The 19,677-nt window shown below is 42.1% G+C and overlaps 2 protein-coding genes and 1 pseudogene across 4 annotated transcripts in view, besides 7 other annotated features; 2 read left to right on the top strand and 1 right to left on the bottom strand.

The window, feature by feature from the left end:
- Positions 1-10,923, bottom strand: part of RAB5A (RAB5A, member RAS oncogene family) — a 38,079-nt gene extending 27,156 nt beyond the window's left edge. For 2 of the 3 annotated variants that reach the window (NM_004162.5, NM_001292048.2), the window contains exons 1-2: positions 10,499-10,923; positions 6,959-7,214 (exon numbers count right to left, since the gene is read on the bottom strand). In NM_004162.5, the coding sequence (NP_004153.2) occupies positions 6,959-7,121 (163 nt within the window). In that variant the 5' untranslated portion in view covers positions 7,122-7,214; positions 10,499-10,923. Of the gene's footprint in view, positions 1-6,958; positions 7,215-10,498 lie in introns of those variants that run through there. The other variant, XM_047448648.1, reaches the window with a different exon arrangement.
- Positions 9,639-10,238: an enhancer, noted in NCBI's record as "NANOG-H3K27ac-H3K4me1 hESC enhancer chr3:19989274-19989873 (GRCh37/hg19 assembly coordinates)". NCBI's record gives its function as "activates a minimal SCP1, AML or CMV promoter by ChIP-STARR-seq in primed H9 embryonic stem cells {active_cell/tissue: H9 hESC(primed)}" and the evidence as "EXISTENCE:reporter gene assay evidence [ECO:0000049][PMID:30033119]".
- Positions 10,285-10,334: an enhancer, noted in NCBI's record as "active region_19578". NCBI's record gives its function as "activates an Ori minimal core promoter by ATAC-STARR-seq in GM12878 lymphoblastoid cells {active_cell/tissue: GM12878}" and the evidence as "EXISTENCE:reporter gene assay evidence [ECO:0000049][PMID:35858748]".
- Positions 10,766-10,935: an enhancer, noted in NCBI's record as "experimental_67716 CRE fragment used in MPRA reporter constructs". NCBI's record gives its function as "activates a minimal promoter by MPRAs in K562 erythroleukemia cells, with activity observed for both the introgressed and non-introgressed 3:19988662 variant alleles {active_cell/tissue: K562}" and the evidence as "EXISTENCE:reporter gene assay evidence [ECO:0000049][PMID:34662402]".
- Positions 10,766-11,030: a biological region, named in NCBI's record as "Neanderthal introgressed variant-containing enhancers experimental_67714 and experimental_67716".
- Positions 10,855-10,904: an enhancer, noted in NCBI's record as "active region_19577". NCBI's record gives its function as "activates an Ori minimal core promoter by ATAC-STARR-seq in GM12878 lymphoblastoid cells {active_cell/tissue: GM12878}" and the evidence as "EXISTENCE:reporter gene assay evidence [ECO:0000049][PMID:35858748]".
- Positions 10,861-11,030: an enhancer, noted in NCBI's record as "experimental_67714 CRE fragment used in MPRA reporter constructs". NCBI's record gives its function as "activates a minimal promoter by MPRAs in K562 erythroleukemia cells, with activity observed for both the introgressed and non-introgressed 3:19988567 variant alleles {active_cell/tissue: K562}" and the evidence as "EXISTENCE:reporter gene assay evidence [ECO:0000049][PMID:34662402]".
- Positions 11,037-19,677, top strand: part of EFHB (EF-hand domain family member B) — a 67,512-nt gene continuing 58,871 nt past the window's right edge. Inside the window, exon 1 of the mRNA NM_001330688.2 lies at positions 11,037-11,101. The gene's annotated coding sequence lies outside the window, so the exon portion shown is untranslated. The remainder of the gene's footprint in view (positions 11,102-19,677) is intronic.
- Positions 11,441-12,042: an enhancer, noted in NCBI's record as "H3K27ac hESC enhancer chr3:19987470-19988071 (GRCh37/hg19 assembly coordinates)". NCBI's record gives its function as "activates a minimal SCP1, AML or CMV promoter by ChIP-STARR-seq in primed H9 embryonic stem cells {active_cell/tissue: H9 hESC(primed)}" and the evidence as "EXISTENCE:reporter gene assay evidence [ECO:0000049][PMID:30033119]".
- Positions 14,647-17,839, top strand: HSPA8P18 (heat shock protein family A (Hsp70) member 8 pseudogene 18; annotated as a pseudogene).

Raw genomic sequence — 19,677 nt, 5'->3', positions numbered from 1 at the left:
GTCATTCTGAAGGCTAACAAGTGAAGGGCAATTGTAGAAAGCTTTCTACTACTGGAAAAACATGAGTTATTTGGATTTAAATTTTCTGGCTAGCTTTTCTGTTTAGGAAGTAACTTTATTCCCCCCAGCTTTATTAAGGTATTGTTGAAAAATAAAAATCGTTATGTATTTACAATATATACATATGTATATTAACATGATGTTTTGATACATGTACACATTGTGAGGTGACTAAATCAAGGTAATTCAATATTGATCACCTCGCCTACTTACCTTTTTTTTTTTTTTTGAGACAGAGTCTCACTCTGTTGCTCAGGCTGGAGTGCAGTGGTGCTATCTCAGCTCACTGCAACCTCCGCGACAGAGTCTCACTCTGTTGCTCAGGCTGGAATGCAGTGGCGCTATCTGGGCTCACTGCAACCTCTGCCTCCCAGGTTCAAGCAATACTCATGCCTCAGCCTCCCGAGTAGCTGGAATTACAGGCATGCGCGACCACGCCCAGCTAATGTTTGCTTTTTTTTTTTTTTTTAGTAAGGATGGGGTTTGGCCATGTTGGCCAGGCTGGTCTCAAGCGATCTGACCACTTTGGCCTCCCAAAGTGTTGGGATTACAGGCATGAGCCATGCACCCGGCACTTACTATTTTTTAATGGTGAGGACATTTAAGAATTTAGCAGTTTTCAAGTACACATTATTAAGTAGTTACTGGAAAAAACTTTAATATATGCACACGTGTAGTACTTTAGCCCTGTAATTTCTCCCTCTGAGAAACTTCCACAAATAACACAGTTGGGCTGGGCACAGTGGCTTACACCTTTCATCCCAGCACCTTGGGAGGCTGAGGTGGGAGGACTGCTGTAGCCCAGGAGTTTGAGACCAGCTTAGGCACCAACAGTGAGATCTGTCCCTACAAAAAAATAAAAAATTAGCCAAGTGTGGGGTGCATGCCTATAGTCAGTCCCAGCTACCTGGGAGGACCACTTGAGGCCACGTCAAGGCTGCAGTGAGCTTTGATGCCACCACTGTACACCAGCCTGGGCAACAGAGCAGGCTGTTTAAAAAAAAAAAAAAAAAGGAAAAAAAACACAAAATTTTTCAAATCTTCAAATTTTCTAAATCAAACGCTATGCACTAGGTGTAACAGCTACCATCTCAAGATAATAGTATGTCATGACCAAACAACAAAAATATCAACAATGACAAAACGATTCAGCCAAAAGTTAACAGTGGTGATGGTAACTGTAATAGCTATAATTTAATAAACCTTTTACTGTGCCAGGCATTGTGGTAAAAACTTCAATCTGGATACAGTCTCTCTTAACCACAATAGTTTATTCTTTAGAATGACTTGGCCATAAATTGTTAGGTAAAATAGTATGTTAATAATAACTTTGAAATAAGCCTTGTTTTTCTTCATTTTAACAGTAACTTTTATTCCTGTTACAGGTTGTTTTAGACTAAAAACAACTAGTTGGCCATGCTAACCAATTTAGATGGATGTTAAATATGTAAGTAGAAACAGCACTTCACTTAAGAGTTAATAATTGCACTAAATTTCCTTTTTTTTGAGACGGAGTCTCGCCCTGTCGCCCAGGCTGGAGTGCAATGGCGCGATCTCGGCTCACTGCAACCTCCGCTTCCTGGGTTCAAATGTTTCTCCTGCCTCAGCATCCTGAGTAGCTGGGGTTATAGGCACCCACCACCACGCCTAGCTAATTCTGGTATTTTTACCATGTTGGCCAGGCTGGTCTCGAACTCCTGACCTCGTGATCTGCCAGTGTGCTGGCACCCTCCCAAAGTGCTGGGATTACAGGCATGAGCCACTGCGCCCGGCCTACACTAAATTTCTTAATTAATTTTGTGTATTATCAGGCCTTGATCATTTGTGACAAGAAAGGAGAGCAGCAGTGGTACAGATGACTGAAAACTATGGGTACTCCCTAAGTAGAGAAAAAGCAGAATACTCTTGATTGGACAGAGGGATCATACTTTCCTAAAGATGTCTGGCAGGTGGCTAACAGGAAGGCATTCTCCTATAAAGAGATACAGATAACATGTAATGTGAGCAGTACATAATACATGTAATTCTCAAACTAGGTTAGTTGCATGAACAATTTTTTTTTTAAGACGGAGTCTCGCTGAGACACCCAGGCTGGAGTGCAATGGCATGATCTCGGCTCATTGCAACAACCTCCTCCGCCTCCTGGGTTCAAGCGAATCTCCTGCCTCAGCCTCCCAAGTAGCTGGGACTACAGGCGCACGCCACCATGCCTGGCTAATTTTTGTATTTTTAGCAGAGACAGGGTTTCATCACATTGGCAAGCTGGTCTCGAACTCCTGACCTCGTGATCCGCCCGCCTCAGCCTCCCAAAGTGTTGGGATTACAGGTATGAGCTACCGCGCCCAGTCAACAATGTTTTTAAAAATCTGACAAACACCACACCTCAAAAAAACCCCCCAATTATTCCATGTATGGGTGAATCAATGTTAGTACCAATGTAAAATCAACTACTCAAACGTAACATGCCATTAGAATCATCTGGAAAACTTATTAAAACCTAGATTGTTGGTCCCACCCAAATGTTTTGATTCAACACGGGATTCTACATTTTAACAAGTTCCTAGTTAATGCAGCTACTTCTGGAAGTGGGAACGCTCTTTGAGGACCACTGTTCTAAGCTAATGTACAAAAATCACAGAACCAGCAAGAGGAATGTTATTTTCATGTACAGTTCCATCATCTAAACTTTAGAGTTTATAACACATTTTTTGATTAGTGCATACAAAATTGTAACTGTGGTATGAAGCACTTTTCTCAGAAGAGAAAAAAAGGATTGTCTGCTTGCTATTTCACTGCATATTCTAACCACTGAGGATTAATTTGTTTATAAATATCACATAAATGTCTTCTTAAAAATAAGTATTTTTTGAGAGTATTTACTGAAGAGCTACCAAGCCTAGAGATGCAGTACCAAGTAAAGAAGGAAGACAACTCTCTGAGCCTACTGCTCCCTGCTAATCTCTGGGCTAACTTTAGACCAACAATAGAAACATAAATGTCATGCAAACTTTAAACCCATACAAACAAGCTAGAATTCTCTAAATTGCTAAATCTACGGCACGCAATTTCATCAGAAGTGCTATAGGGGTAGGATGCATGAAGTATGGTGAGGCAACAGGGATTCTTTGTTTTGTTTTGTTTTTGAGACAGGGTTCTCACTGTCACCCAGGCTGGAGTGTGGTGGTGCAGTCTCGGCTCACTGTAACCTCCGCCTCTTCAGTTCAAGCAATTCTCCCATTTCAGCCTTCTCAGTAGCTGGGACTACAGGTGTGTGCCACCATGCCCGGTTAATTTTCGTATTTTTTGTAAAGACGGGGTTTTGCTATGTTGGCCAGGCTGGTCTCAAACTCCTGGACTCAAGCGATCTGCCCACCTCAGCTTCCCAAAGTGCTGGGATTACAGATGCAAGCCACCGCACACAGCGCAACAGGAATTCGTAAATCAAGTTATTGTATTTAGGAAGAACCACACAAATTACAGAAGAAATCTTGATATTCTTAATGAATCCAGAATCCACAAATCAAGAGTGTAACATATGATATCCACCTTCGAACACAATCAAATAGAGATTAAAATTTTGAGTGCTTCAGAACAATAACTCATGTTAGGAGATATAAACAGTAAAGTGAAAAATTAAACAGTTGAGGCCAGGCGTGGAGGTTCACGCCTATAATTCCAGCACTTTGGGAGGCCGAGGCAGGTGGATCACTTGAGGTCAGGAGTCTGAGACCAGCCTGGCCAAGATGGCAAAACCCTGTCTCTACTAAAAATACAAAAGTTCACTGGGATTGGTGGTGTGGGCCTGTAATCCCAGCTACTCAGGAGGCTGAGGCAGGAGAACTGCCTGAACCTGGGAAGTAGAGGTTGCAGTCAACCTAGATCACACCACTGCACTCCAACCTGGGCCACGTAGTGAAATTCCGTCTCAAAAAAAATAAACCAACAGTTGAAATGCAAAAGAGTTGGTTGGCTTCATTTTTCAGGTAACTTCTACCACATGACAGTCAAAACAAAAATACGTATTACCTACAAGTTATGGCCCTTTCAGGTTGATCATGAAATAGCTCAAACCTTAAAATTCTTAAATGCTTTACATCTACTCTAGTTCCTAAAGGTGAAGAGCTATGAGTACAGAGCATAAAAGAATAGTGTCCACAGCTATAACCATAATGGTACTGTCATACCTCCTGAATAGTATTCACATGGGGTCAGCACAGTGAAAAAGTATCCAATAAAGATTAACAGAAAGTTGGGCCAGGGGCAGTGGCTCATGCCTGTAATCCCAGCACTTGGAGAGCCCGAGGTAGGCAGATCACTTGAGGCCAGGAGTTCAAGACCAACCCGACCGACATGGTGAAACCCCATCTCTACTAAAAATACAAAAATTGGCCAGGAGTGGTGGCTTGCGCCTGTAGTCCCAGCTACTTGGGGGGCTGAGGCATGAGAATTGCTTGATCCTGGGAAGCGGAGGTTGCAGTGAGCCAGGGCTACACCACTGCACTCCAGCCTGGGCGACAGAGACCTTGTCTCCAAAAAAAAAAAAAAAAAGGATTAACAGAAATTTGGATGCAAATTCCTTTTTGTTTTTAAACAGGAAGCTCTACACATAGAAATGAAAATCTTTATGAAAAATTCATTAATGAAATCTAGACAATCTAACTGGTGTTACATGGAGATTATATAGAGATACACACATATCAGAGATATATTTATGATACACAGGATATGGGGTTACATTTTTCTTTTAAACATCCTTCTTGAGCTATCATTAGGAAAAAATAAACTTAGAAGTGCATTATCCAAAACAAGATAAAAATTCTAATCTTAAGCTCTTGCAAAGCTCCCCAGGAATTAAGTCCTATACTACAGTACTTCAGAGTTTTTATTGTTTTAATAAAATAATAAAGAGAGAGGAGAAGAGTAGCATATAGTAAGTCCCAAACCTACGTGGCCCAGGTTATTTAACCCAGAATGCACATATACTTTGGGAAATGCTTCCATTAACAGTGAAATAAGTGGGTGGACATGATCTAGCAGTCTTTAAACTTTTCCTACTAGATGGGACAGTTAGCTTTGACCAAATCACTTCTGGAGGAAGCAAAGCCTTCTTGAGAAGTAGTATTTCATTATTAAACTGGATATAATGTATTAACAATAACAACAACAACAACAAAATCACACGTGGATGTACTTTCAGGGAAAAAAAAAATCACAAAGATGTCTAATATATTGTGTATTAACATTTTTTAAAATGCCAAGACTTCTGACTCAAAATAAAAGCTCCATGATGCTTTCTGATGCTCAGCCATTAGAAAAAACATAAAACATTCTAATATAACATTTTAACAAGATATACAAAGGCCAGGAGGTAGTAGACTTCTGTAACTTATCTTACTAGAATGGGTCTAAGATTATGAATAACATTCTCAAGTATATTTGCAGAAGAGCATTCACTAAATGCACAGTATAAAGTTTTGCTTCTGAAAGACAGATTCCAAGAAGTTGCCACATGCCAGTTGGTATCTACCTGTCTTATTTCCAAAGTTTGACTTTAATTTTACAGGATGGGGTTAAAATATATACATGAATACCTTAGAAAACAGCATTGCTTAATTATATATCACTTGCAAAATATTGTGAATCTCAAACCGTGTGGCTCTTGCCACACATCATCTAATTGAAAAGCATCATTTCACAGATGAAACAGAGGCCCAAAAGAGGCTATCTTGTCCCACTGCTATATAATTATAGGTTTCTTTGATTAAAGTCAATTTTTTTTAAGAGATGGGTTCTCATTATGTTGCCCAGGCTAGACTTGAACTCCCAAGCTAAAATAATCCTGCCTCAGCCTCCAAATACCTGGGACTACAGGAATGCACCACCATGTCCAGCTAAAATTCAATTTTCCCATTTCACGTCCTCTCTTGACAATACTGTACTGTTTGTTGTCTCCTTTTCACCCTGCATCTTACCTTCCCCTCATCTCTGTCCCACCATAACCACCCTTGTCAGTGCCTACTCTTTCCCTTCTTCTTTCATCTTTTTCTTCAGGTTCCATTTTCCTGTTATGTCCCTTTCCATTAATCACTTTTTCTCTTCCCTCAGCTTAGGAGCATTCTTACATATGCATCTCAGCAGGGAGCACCTGTAATCACAGCTACCTGGGAGGTTGAGGCTGGAGGCTCACTTGAGGCCAGGAGTTCAAGACCAACCTGGAAACACAGCGAGACTCTGACTCTTAAAAAAAAAAAAAAAAAACTTGCCTGGCATGGTGGCATGCACCCTTAGGTCCAACTACTTGGTGGGAGGCTAAGGCAAGAAGATCATTTGAGCCTAGAGTTTCAGGCTGCAGTCTGCAGTGAGCTATGATCCGGACACTGCACTCCAGCCTAGGCGACAGCAAGATCCCATCTCTTAAATACCAAAAAAAAGTACATCTAGCAGTATTTAATTACATTTAATTTTACAAGTAAGTATAATTATTTGCAAATACTTCAGTTATATAGATCAGAATTTAAGGTTACCTTTTTTACTATTCATTTTAAACCAATATAATTGAGCACAAACATGTACTGTATTAATTTGAAGAAGCTTCTAGTTGTTAGCTAGAAATAGGTATCAGGTCAAATGTTATTACTTGAGACACTGATTCTACTCATGTTTTTTATCTGTATTTTAGCTACAATATAACCACAAGGGATTAACCAAACAATCAAATATAAAAACACATCATTTTAACAAAGATAAAGGCAAGTTTTAAAGCTAAGGTAAGCTGAACAGCTCTTTTCTTCACTCTATGACTTATTTAGCTATTCATAATCACACAATTGGAACATCAAAATATTTTCTGTCAATGTATGATTCGATTAAATGAAGCAGGGAAAAAAGAAAATCTCACCCCCAATGGTACTCTCTTGAAATTCATGAAATTGGCCTTTCACAAAACGAAGCACTAGGCTTGATTTGCCAACAGCGGACTCTCCCAGAAGTACTAGTTTGAACTGGCATATTTTATTTCCCGTATTTGGCCCGTTGGGTCTTGTTGCGCCTCGACTAGCCATGTCCAAATTTGAAATAAGTCCCTAATTTCAGACTCTTCAATGAACTTCCAGAATTCAAGGGGCCAATATTCTTCTTTCTGGAGGTAAAGAAACCTGTAAAGAAACAATTATGAATTAAATATACAAATCAGTAAAGCAAATTTACTATTAATCACTTTAAATATTGCCTATAGCATGATTATCTTAAACTCTACTAGACCTTCAATGCCCTTTAGATTATGTCACTATCTTTTAAAGGAAATTCAAAGGTATAGGATGTGAGTCCAAAATTACTTTTTTTTTTAAAGGCTAACCTCAAAGCTTCAAGTTTGTGCCAGGCAGTGCTTTAAGTACTTAACTTCTCAACAATCCTATAAAATGAGATATTATTACAATCCTTATAAATGAGGAAACAAGCACAGAGATGTTAAGAAGCTTAATTGAGGTCACACAGTTATTGTCACAGAAGTGACAGAGCCGAGTTTCAAACCCAGGCAACCTGAGAGATGACTCGAGTTCAAGTTCTGTAGCCAGGCTACTTGGATTAACATTGTTTTGAGAAAAATTATGTTATTAATAAATGGGAAACTTTTAGAACAGATCCTAAAATTTAGTATTATTTGAAGTTTTCTGTTAAACGATGCATTTTTCATTTAATTAATGGTAATTTTGGACAACAAATATTTTCAGTCTCCCAGGTTTGTGTGCCTAACGGCAGACTTAAAACTGTTTCCTCATCTGCTCAAGCACACCATACACAGAAATGCTAACAGTTGTTCTCCATGTGGTGATTATTACTGACTTATTTACTTACAATAATTGTAACTTTTTTGTAGTCTTTAGACGAACAATATACATGCCATTTTTAAAAAAATTTTTTTGGAGAAAGGGTTTTGCTCTCTCACCCAGGCTGGAGTGCAGTGGCGTGGTCACAGCTCACTGCAACCTAGACCTCCTGGGCTCAAGCAATCCTCCTGCCTCAACCTCCTGAGTAGCTGAGACTACAGGCGCTCAGAACCATGCCAGGCTAATTTTTTGGTAGAGACACTTAACTGCTATGTTGCCCAGGATGATCCTGAACTCTCGGGCTCAAGCAATCCTCCTGCCTCAGCCTCGCAAAGTGCTGGGATTACAGGTGTGAGCCACCACGCCCAGCCTGCAGGCCATTATTTTTTATTTAAACAACACATTAAAGAAATCTAGCCTGAATGGCGACTTCTATGCTAATTTTTAATCTCTAAGGAATTAGTGAATATTTGAAGAACCTTTTTCAATCCACTCACAAACCAATCTTAACAGTTTCCTTCTATCTTTAATCAAAATCCGAATACATGCTAATATATTAAACCTGATGATTCCCTCTCTAAAAACCCTGCTATATTTCATTTAGCTACCTCATATAAGAAATACGTCTTTCACACTGGACAGAGTGGCTTATACCGGTAAATCCCAACACTTTGGGGGTGAGGCAGGAGGACTCTGAGACCAGCCTGGGCAACACAGTGAGACCCTGTCTCTATATTAAAAACAAAAGAAAGAAATATGCCTTTCCCATAAAATGAGCTTATAATACGCTCTTCATAATGAATTCCCTAACATGTCCACGAGATCTTAGTTCTTAAGGCAATGAAACTACCTCCTTGCCTTAACTAAACACCAGCTTTTTAGAGTCCTTATCTTTTACCATTACATACTGAAATATTTACAGATTTATTGACGTAATATCTGAGTTGCTTCCAAATAACAAGGTATAAATAAAAATGCCCCCTCCTCCACAAACATACCAGATTTAGGGGTGTAATCCTGGCTATACCAATTTCCGTCTGGGCAAACTCTTTAATTTCCAAGTTTCTATTCCCATAATATCTAACTTGCATAGCTGATGTGACAATTAAATAAAACAATACATGTAAACAATCTCTAATATACATAGTAGGGATTGAAATTGCCAATAATGTGCTCCTTTGATAAGAAAATGATAAAATATCAATAGAACATCATATATACTGAAAATGCACCAATACATCTTCAGATATTACACACAATCAAAACATTTTCCATTTGTCTTTTTATTTAAGAAAACAAGAAATTACTTATCAAGGACAATATGCTCCAAATTTCTACGGCACTTCCAAAATTTTAGGGAAAATATCAGACTCCCATTAAAAAAAAAAATCAAACAAGATTCTGATTTCACTTTGACTTTTAAGGTTTAAAGCTACTTAATTGTGGCTACTCCCCCTAAGGATCTCAAACAGGAAATAACTAAAGTTAATGGTAAATATACACTTAGCATAACACTAAGGTTAAAAATTACGTGCATTCATTTGTATTCACTGCTTACTGAAACTTCTGTTTTGCAAAACAAGAATTTTGCATAATATACATTTGTAATCTTTTGAAAATAACTGTTATTCATTCTATAGTTAAAATCCTTCTAAGGGTTCTTTGATCAAAAAATTGACTGGGCACTTATTTTGTGCCAGGCACTGTTCCATTTACTTTGTTTATACAAATGCTGAGTTATCACTTCCATTTTACTTTAGGAATAAAGTTTATGAGCAGTCTTGAGTATTCCCAGAGGTGTACAAGTGTTTTTTTCTTATTATGTGAAAGGCAACTGATTGAACGCTTTGATTCCATTTAAGCAAGACAAAAACCAAGTATGTGAACTATGACGTTCAGAACTTAACAAGTTTGAAAGTCTCAGAGGTAAGCAGCTTCCAGGGAAGATAACGCCAGAGCAAGTTCCATGGTCTCTACCCAGTGAAGGAGTTCAGCGGTCCTGTTATCTTGAATTTATTTAACGCTGTAGTTCACTACCTTCCAAACAGAAAACAAGTCTCTAGACAGCCTATTTTGACGAGCCTCCCACCCACCGACACTACTCATCTTTGGAAGTTGAAGATAGGCGGAGCTCCCCACATTGACACCTGCAGTAGGCCCAGGTTCCTGCTTGGAGAGCACCTGAGTAGCTAATAGCCAACTACAGATCGCCTGGATAAGCAGCACTCGCCAGGTCCCTTGGCCTTTCCAACCTCCTCCCCCGAACCTGCCTTGCTTTGACCGAGACCCCCAGGACTGCCAGGACGGAGACCAGGCGGAACCGCGGCCTCCAGTACACTTTCCACGGCGCCATCTTGAGAAGGGAAAGGGTGACACCCGTCGCTCCCTCAGTCAGTCCCCAAATCCCGGTCTCCAGAGCCCCTGGAGGATGAGTCACCAGGGCTGGCAGAACAAGACGCCGGGTTCGATAGTTCTCTGGTCCAGGGCACTGCTGCGCGTGAGGGAGAAGGGGTGGGGGGTCTCAGTACCGGCAGGGCCGCGGACAGGCTGGGGACCGCGGATAACCTGGGGTCCAGGCCCCCGCTGCGCAGGAGGAGGGGCGGTTCGGTTACCTGAGACCGCAGCAAGCCGAGCTGCGGGGCCGAAGCTTCCTGGCAGCAAGGCCCAGGCGTGGCCCGTAGGATGAGAGTGTATCTATGGCGGTGGTGGTGGCGGCGGCGGCGTCGCCTGCTCTTAGCGCCGCTCCCCTCACACTGGACTGTGCGGGGCTCGTGCCGTGGTGCCGCCCCTGTCGGGCTCCGTCTCCGCCTCTCGCCGCTCCCCCTTCCTCTTTCCTTTCTCCTCCTCCGCCGCCGCCGCCGCCGCCGGCGCTGGAGTTCCGACTAATTCTTCCTCCTCCTCCTCCCTCTGCCTCCTCCCCTAAGGCCAGCCGCCGGCTCCTTCACGAACCAAAACACAAACACTCAAGTCCCACCGCCGGAGCCACTTCCGCTGCCCGGTGCCGGCCCCGCCGCCACGTCGCTGCACGCAGCGAACTGCGCCACTTCGTCACTTCCCATCATCGCCAGTCCGCCTGCTCCTTCCGCTTCCTCGCCCCTTCCCGAATCCCTCCCCGCCTAGGTTTGTTCGCGGGGCGGGGCGAGGCAGGATGTCACGTGACCCTGCGAGTGGCTCAGATCCGAACTGGCCGCCTTTCTCCCCTTCCCCCACCCCAGGTACGCGCGGCCACGCCCTCTCCAGCGCCATTGTTATTTAGGCTGGGGGGTCTCTGGGCTCCTGGCGGCCGGGGTCGGGGGAAATTCCTTTACTATTCTTTGGGGGAAGATCAAAATAACTTGTGTTTTTTTGTTTGTTTTTTGTGCCCAGCCCTTGTGGGAGCGGCGAGGTTCCCTAACCCCAATCCTGGCATCTCGGCTAAGGGGCTTTATTAGAGGGAACTTGTCTAGCACGAGAGAACCTCCTCCCACAAAATGGCCCTGGGGTTGGGTAGGTCGGTAAAGGCTGCTAAATCGCATTTACCCCAAGGAGGAAGAAAGGACCCTCCCTATCCCAAAAGCCGCCTTTAGGCGCCTGACAATAAGAAGTCGCTTCTGTTAAGAGTTTACGTGGTTTTGGTAGGGGGCGGGGAAGGCCAAATCCTAAAATAGTGTCTGCCTTTTATTCAGAATTTCCCTTCGCTCTTTACTGTACTAAACGCTTTACAGGAATTATCCCATTGAATTCTTACACTCGAGTCTTTCATTCTGAAACTAACTTGTTAATCGTCTGTTCCCTACATTCGAATTTTAGCTCCCCTTGGTGGTCCTCACCGCTGTAAATCTATGTCTAGCCCAGTGCCTGGCAGCCAAGTCTTCAGTTCTAGTTGTAGATGTTTTATAGGTAAAGAATTTGAGACACAAGAGATTGAGTAACTTGTCCGAGATCACGGCTGTGTGGTGCAGAAGCTGGATTCTGATCTGCGGCGGGTTGGCTCCAGAACGTGAGTTGTTGAACACAATTCTGGTGAAAGACAACCCAAGATGTTCGTTACCCTCCACGGGGGACCTACTGAAGATGTGCTGCTTTAGTTGAATCCCACACCACATTCAGTCTCTGGCGAGGCTTCAGCCACCACCCCCTCCCCAGCCTCCGCCAAAAAAATTGTTTTGATAATTTAGTGGAAGAATATTAAATTGATTTTCCTTCAGAATAAAGGCTACTTTTCAGTTTGCAGTTTACAATGTATAGCTCTGTTGTAAGGGCGAGAATATTGTCTTTGAAGTGTACCGGGTTAAGGTATCTTATGGGCGTACAGTCGGCGGCATTGTGCAATTAAGATGATTTGAACTTTGAACAGCCCGTCTTTCAGATCAACTACCTAGTTGCCAGAAGAACGTAATGTGTCATACGTAAATGATACCTGTGGCATTTTATTCTCAAGGAGTTGTTCAATATGAACTATTAATCATGGTAATAGCTCTGGGACAATCCCAGGAGGAGTCAGGAAATAGGATATGTGACATCAGTTTTGTCATGTCAACAGTATGCCCAAAACGAAACCTATTCCACTCCAAACCTGCTTCTGCTTAGAGACTGGCATTAACATCCTCCCAGTCACCCAGACTTGGAACTGCAGAATCAGCTTCACCTCTTTCTTCTCCTCACAAACCATTGTCCATTCTATCAACAAATTATCTAATCCCCAAATTTGAAGTCTAATCCCAACACCTGGTCCATGGTAGTGTTTATATAAACTGAAATTAATGCATACTGCTGTTCTTTCTGTCCATTCTTTACATTTTAGCCACTCTACTAAAAAATGTTCAATGCTATGTCATTACTTGACAGTCTAAAGTTCTTTAACTCTAGTCCCAACCCAAGTTTCTTTCATTCTATTTCTATAGAATTCCTCTCCCCATACTCTTTATTTGTTCCCTGATCACACGTATCTGGTCTGTGTTCCCTGAATATTGCCTGTGTGTTGCCATCTTGGTATCTGATCACTTTATTTTCTCCACATGGAACACTATCATTGCCCATAACTGCTGGCTCCGTCTTAGCCAGGACACCAGTTCCTTTGGACCGCATCTGCAGATACTTCTACTGGATTCAATTATTATTTTTTCTGTAATTTCACAATACTTTGCCTTACTCTGTATAATGGCTGTCTTAAAATCTGCCTTATTTTAATAGCTAATGAGCACCTGGACTTTTCTCCTTAGCCTTTCATTGAATTATAAGGTTTTTAAGGGCTGTGACCATCAGTTATTCATCATTTCAGTTCTTCACAGAAGACCCTTGACTGCTATAATAGGGACCCCCAAAGTATTGGTGAACTTAATTACATTTAGAATCACGAACATTAAGAAGACCTCACAATGAAAAACATTTGATGCTGAAATTTATAAATTGCAAAAAACTCCCTATTTCATCGTTCCAGTATGTTGCTTCTTCACTCGTTCCTGTTTAGTGATTTTGTCTTCACCTCCTTCATGAATACTTTTCACAATATTTTACAGTTTAGTCATAATGTTTGCCTGGAAGAGTGCTGCCCTGGTGGCTGGCATTTCTAAAGATCCGGTAGTAGTTTTAGAGAAATTGAAATGACACAGTAAAGCTCTGTTGTTTTATTGCCACTTGCAATATGCCTATGTTTTCTTTTTCATAGCCCCAGATAACTGAGGAGGACTGATAATTGTATATATTTTAGTGTCAAATGTGGAGTCCTACCAGTTGATAGAACTTGTTAAGGAAGGTACAAAATGGATAAATAATCATGAAGACTTAAACACTGTCTTTGATGCTTATACTGCCCTCAAATCTCTAAATACTCAATAACAAATTCCCAGTGGCAGGTGTCTCTCTACCATTCACAGGATCCCATAACCTTTTCCTTCTCTTCCAGGAAATCTGTCCTCCCTTGTGTAGCTAAAGAATGAATCTTTGCATAGATGATAATGAATGGTTACATTTACTTTTAACTGGAACTGTCTGGAGACAATTCAAAATTTTTCCTGGAGACAAACCAACGGTAACTCTAACATTGGCGTAGTAGCAAGTCAGTGAATAAAAGGCTGTGAAAACTTAAGCTAGTCATGTTTCAAAAGCTTGTGTCTTTGGAGGGCATCATTCAGGCTTCAGCTCAAATGTCATCTACCTAAGGGACTTCTAAGCCCACTAATTCTAAATGCTTTGTTACATATCGAAGTAGTCTGTTGTCTTCATAACAGCACTGTTTGATATGATATTATGCATTGTCTTCATAACACTTAGCACCATTTGATATGATATTACGCATCGTTCCACTTAATGGTTATCTATCCCTACTAGAATATAAGCTCCATGAGATAGGGGTTGGGTTATACAGTCAGTCCATCTGCTTGTGATTGGTTCTTGGACACTCCCTTATTCCCCCACCATATGGGTACCAAAATTTGCAGATGCTCTAGTCTCATGTAAAATGGTGTAGTATTTGCATGTAGGCTATTCTGTATGCTTTAAATCATCTTCAGATTACTTACAATAAGTAATACAATGTAAATGATATGTAAATAGTTGTATTTTTTTAATTTGTATTATTTTGTGTTTTTTTCATTTTTTAACTCAAATACTTTCGATGGAATACAGAGGGCTAACTGTATTCCCAACACTGACACAAAATAGGGAGGGACTCAATACCTGTTTGTAGAATGAATGAATGAATTGAATGAGCCCTTACCTGGATTTACATACTGCAAAGTCATTTGAAGAATTTATGGGGATTTATTGAATGCTGTGGCCACTTTTGGGGTTCCTATGTCTTTCTTCAGAATCCAATCCGGCCTACATGCAAACAACCCTGTTTAAAGGACCTGCAGTTGGTATTCATCTTGGCACCATCTACTCTTGTGTGGGTGTTTTCCAGCATGTAAAAATAGAGGTAATTGCCAATGATCAGGGAAATTGAATCACTCCAAGCTATGTCACCTTTACTGATACTGAACAATTGCTCAGTGATGCCACAAAGAATCAAGTTGCAATGAACCCCATGAACACAGTTTTTGATGCCAAATCTGATTGCTGATTGGACACAGACTTGATTATGCTGTTGTCCAGTCTGATATGAAGCATTGGCCCTTCATGGTAGTGAATAATGTTGGCAGGCCCAAGGTCCAAGTAGAATACAAGGGAGAGATAAAAAAAACTTCTGTCCAGAAAGGTGTCCTCTAGGGCCATGGACTGGTACTGGACTGTGGCCTGTTAGGAACTGGCTGCCCAGCAGGAGGTGAGTGGCAGCAAGTCAGTGAAGCTTCATCTGTATTTACAGCTGCTCCCCATCATTCACATTACCACCTGAGCTCCCCCTCCTGTCAGATCAGTGGCAGCATTAGATTCTCATAGGAGTGTGAACTCTATTGTGAATTGCACACACAAGGGATCTAGCACTTCTTATGACAATCTAATGCCTGATGATCTGTCACTCTCTTCCATCACCTCCAGATGGGACCGTCTAGTGGCAGGAAAACAAGTTCAGGGCTCCTACTGATTGTACATTATGGTGAGTTATATAATTATTTCATTATATATTACAATGTAATAATAATATAAAGTGCACAATAAATGTAATGTGCTTGAATTGTCCTAAAACTATCTTCCCCCGATCCTACCCCCTGCAACTTGGTCTGTGGAAAAATTGTCTTCCATGAAACTGGTCCCTGGTGCCAAAAAGGTTGGGGACAGCTGCTCTGTTATTCTGACAAAGATGAAGGAAATGGCAGAAGCCTACCTTGGAAAGAGTGTTACCAATGCTGTGGTCACAATATCAGCTTGGTTTAATGATTCTCAGCATCAAAGCTACCAAAGATGCTGGAACTATTGCTTATCTCAATGTACTGAGAATTATCAATGAGCTAACTGCTGCTTCTATTGCTTATGCCTTAGGCAAAAGGTTGGAGCTCAATGAAATGTGCTGATCTTTGACCTTAGAAGTGGTACTTTTAAATTTTTATTTATTTATTTTCTTGAGATGGATTCTCGCTCTGTCACCCAGGCTGGAGTGGTGCGATCTCGGCTCACTGCAATCTCTGCCTCCCAGGTTCAAGTGATTCTCCTGCCTCAGCCTCCTGAGTAGTTAGGATTACAGGTGCCCACCACCACGCCTGGGTAATTTTTTTTGTATTTTTAGTAGAGACGTGGTTTCACCATGTTGGCCAGGCTGGTCTCAAACACCTGACTTCAGGTGATCTGCCCCCCCTCAGCCTCCCAAAGTGCTGGGATTACAGGTGTGAGCCACTGTTCCTGGCCTTTTTTTTTTTTTTTTGATGGAGTCTCACTCTTGTTGCTCATGCTGGAGTGCAGTGGCGCAATCTTGGCTCACTGCAACCTCTGCCTCCCGGGTTCAAGCGATTCTTGTGCCTCAGCCTCCCGAGTAGCTGGGATTACAGGCATGCACCACCATGCCCAGCTAATTTTCGTATTTTTAGTAGAGACGGGGTTTTTCCATGTTGGCCAGGCTGGTCTTGAACTCTTGACCTCAGGTGATCCGCCTGCCTCAGCCTCCCAAAGTGCTAGGATTACAGGCGTGAGCCATTGCGCTTGACCTGGAAGTGGCACTTTTAATGTGTCAGTCCTCACTGTTGAGGATGGAATCTTTGAGGTGAAATCTACAGCAGGAGACACCCACTTAGGTGGAAAACACTGACAACCAAGTGGTCCACCATTTTATTGCTGAGTTCAAGTACAAGCATACAAAGGACATCAGTGAGAATAAGAGAGCTGTCTGACATCCCCATACTGCTTGTGAACATGCTAAGTACACTCTTTCTTGAGCAGCCAGGCTAGTATTGAGATCCATTTTCTCTATGAATGAATCAATGTCTATACCTCTTACACATGCCCTATTTGAAGAACTGAATGCTGACCTGTTCTGTGACACCTGGACCCTATAGAGAAAGCCCTTCAAGACACCAAACTAGACAAGTCACAGATTCATGATATTTTCCTGGATGGTGGTTCTACTTTTATCCCCAGGATTCAGAAGCTTCTCCAAGACTTTTTCAATGGAAAAGAACTGAATAAGAGCATCAGCCCTAATGAAGCTGTTGCTTATGGTGCAGCTGTCCAAGCAGCCATTCTGTCTGGCAACAAATCTGAAAATGCTCAAGATTTGTTGCTCTTGTATGTCATTCTTCCTTCCCATGGTATTGAAACCGATGGTGTAGTCATGACTGTTCTCATTAAGCATAATACTACCATTCCTTCCAAGCAGACAGACCTTCACTACCTACTCTGACAGGCAGCCTGATGTGCTTATTCAGGTTTATGAAGGTGAGCATGTCATGACCAAGGATAGCAACCTGCTTGGCAAGTTTCAACTCACAGGCATACCTTTGGCACTCCAAGGTGTTCCTCACATTGAAGTCACATTTGATATTGATGCCAATGGCATCTTCAGTGTCTCTGCTGTGCACAAGAGTACAGGAAAAAGAACAAGATTACTGTCACTAATGACAAGGGCCATTTTAGCAAGAAAGACATTAAATGTGTGGTCCAGGAGGCTGAATAGTACAAAGCTGAAGATGAGAAGCAGAGACAGGTGTCATCAAAGAATTCCCTTGAATCCTATGAATTCAACATGGAAGCAACTGTTGAAGATGAGAAACTTCAAGGCAAGATTCACGATGAAGACAAACAGAAGATTCTTGTCAGGCGTAATGAAATTATTAACTGGATAGATAAGAATCAGGCTGTTGAGAAGGAAGAATTTGAACATCAGCAGAAAGAGCTGGAGAGAGTCTGCAATCCCATCATTACAAAGCTCTAGCAGAGTGCAGGAGGAATGCCTAGGGGATTCACTGTTGGTGGATCTCCTCCCTCTGATGGTGCTTTCTCAGGGCCCAACACTGAATAAGCCAGCCCAAGTACAGATGTAGCATTGTTCCACACACTTAAAACACTGAAGGACCCAAATATGTAGCAAATTCTGTGGCAGTTTTTTTTCTTTTTTGATCAGTCAATGTAGTTTAATTTTTCCCAGTCAAAATTTGCCTAAAAAGGCCTGTAATCTCATAAAAAAAGAAGTACATAGAAAGTAAGCCTTTAAAGGAATTGGACAGATCATTCCAAACTGGGGCAGGAAATTGAGTAGTCTTCATGAGGAAGGTGGTGTTTGAGAGATGTCGGAAGATGGCTGAGTCAATAGGGGCAGTGGGCCTTAAACTCCTGTAGAGGAGATACAATCAAATCTATAACACTAAGTTGTTGGAGGGTGCCAGAGTGTCATCCATGCCAGTTCAATATCAATTGTTCGGTTTTACAGTGGTTTATCAAAGCCTTTTTTAGATCAGACCCTGTGCATTCTATTAGAAGGCTTGCTCTTCAAGGAGCATCTAGTTTAGTACACAGACATGGAAACCCACATAGATCATAGTAGGATAAATACTGTTACAAATAAGTTTGAGGTGCTATGGGAGCATGAAAGAGGGAGACCCATGGGCGGGTGCGGTGGTTCACGCCTGTAATCCCAGCACTCTGGGAGGTCGAGGCGGGCGGATCACGAGGTCAGGAGATAGAGACCATCCTGGCTAACACGGTGAAACCCCATCGCTACTAAAAATACAAAAAATTAGCCGGGTGTGGTGGCGGGCGCCTGTAGTCCCAGCTACTCTAGAGGCTGAGGCGGGAGAATGGCGTGAACCCGGGAGGCGGAGCTTGCAGTGAGCCAAGATCGCGCCACTGCACTCCAGCCTGGGCGCGACAGAGTGAGACTCCATCCCAAAAAAAAAAAAAAAAAAAAAAAAAAAAAAGGAGACCCAACCCAGTTTGAGTGGCAAGACGTGCTACTGGGAAGAAGTAATCCCTGGGTTGAGTCTTGAAGAGCATTTACCAGGCAAGGAGGGCAGAGGATGAGTTGGAATAAAGCATTCCAAGCAAGGGGGACAACAGGGGCAAAAGCAGAAAGTCATAAAGTAGGCTGGGCATGTTGACTCGTGCATGTAATCCAGCACTTTGGGAGGCCAAGGCAGGTGGATCACCTGAGGTCAGGAGTTTGAGACCAGCCTGACCAACATGGTGAAACCCTGTCTCTACTGAAAGTACAAAAATTAGCTGGGCATGGTGGCGGGTGCCTGTAGTTTCAGCTACAAGGGAGGCTGAGGCAGGAGAATCGCTTGAGCCCTGGAGACAGAGGTTGCAGTGAGCCAAGATTGTGCCACTGCACTGCAGCCTGGGTGACAGAGTGAGACTCCTTCTCAAAAACAAAACAAAAGCAAACCAGAAAGTCATAAAATAGCCCAGTGTGCGAGTGGAACTACACGCCCTGGGTTGAGCTGTAGTACAGGCCGCAGTAAGGTGGCAAGCGTCAGGGATAAAGCTGAAGAGGTTGGCAGAGACTGGATCACGGAGGTCCAATTTTTGCTTCTGAAGGTTCTCTCTGGCGATCCTTGGGGTGAGGAGAGACTGCAGTGGGCTAACATGAAGGCCAGTGTAAAGGTGATTGCAAGATTCCAGTTAAGATGTAATGAGGTCTAAATCAAGTCTGTGACTGTGAAGATACCAGAGATGTTGACCCACATCTCTTATTTTTTTCCTAACATTTTATGATGAACATTTTCAAACATTCAGAAAATCAAAGTAATTGTACTGTGAACACCCATATATCTACCACCCAGATTCTACAATTAGCATTTTACTACACTTGGCTTTATCACATATGTCCAGCCATGTATCAACACTTTATGCATTTCAAAATTATGAGCATGTGTACACATTCCTTTAAACATTTCATCATGCATGCCATTTACTAGAGTTCAATATGTGAACCTTTTTAAAGTTC

Source organism: Homo sapiens, chromosome 3 (assembly GCF_000001405.40).
Source record: "Homo sapiens chromosome 3, GRCh38.p14 Primary Assembly".
Classification (NCBI taxonomy): Eukaryota; Metazoa; Chordata; class Mammalia; order Primates; family Hominidae; genus Homo; species Homo sapiens.
The sequence above is the reverse complement of the archived record's forward strand: the minus strand, read 5'-3'. Positions and strand labels throughout refer to the sequence as shown.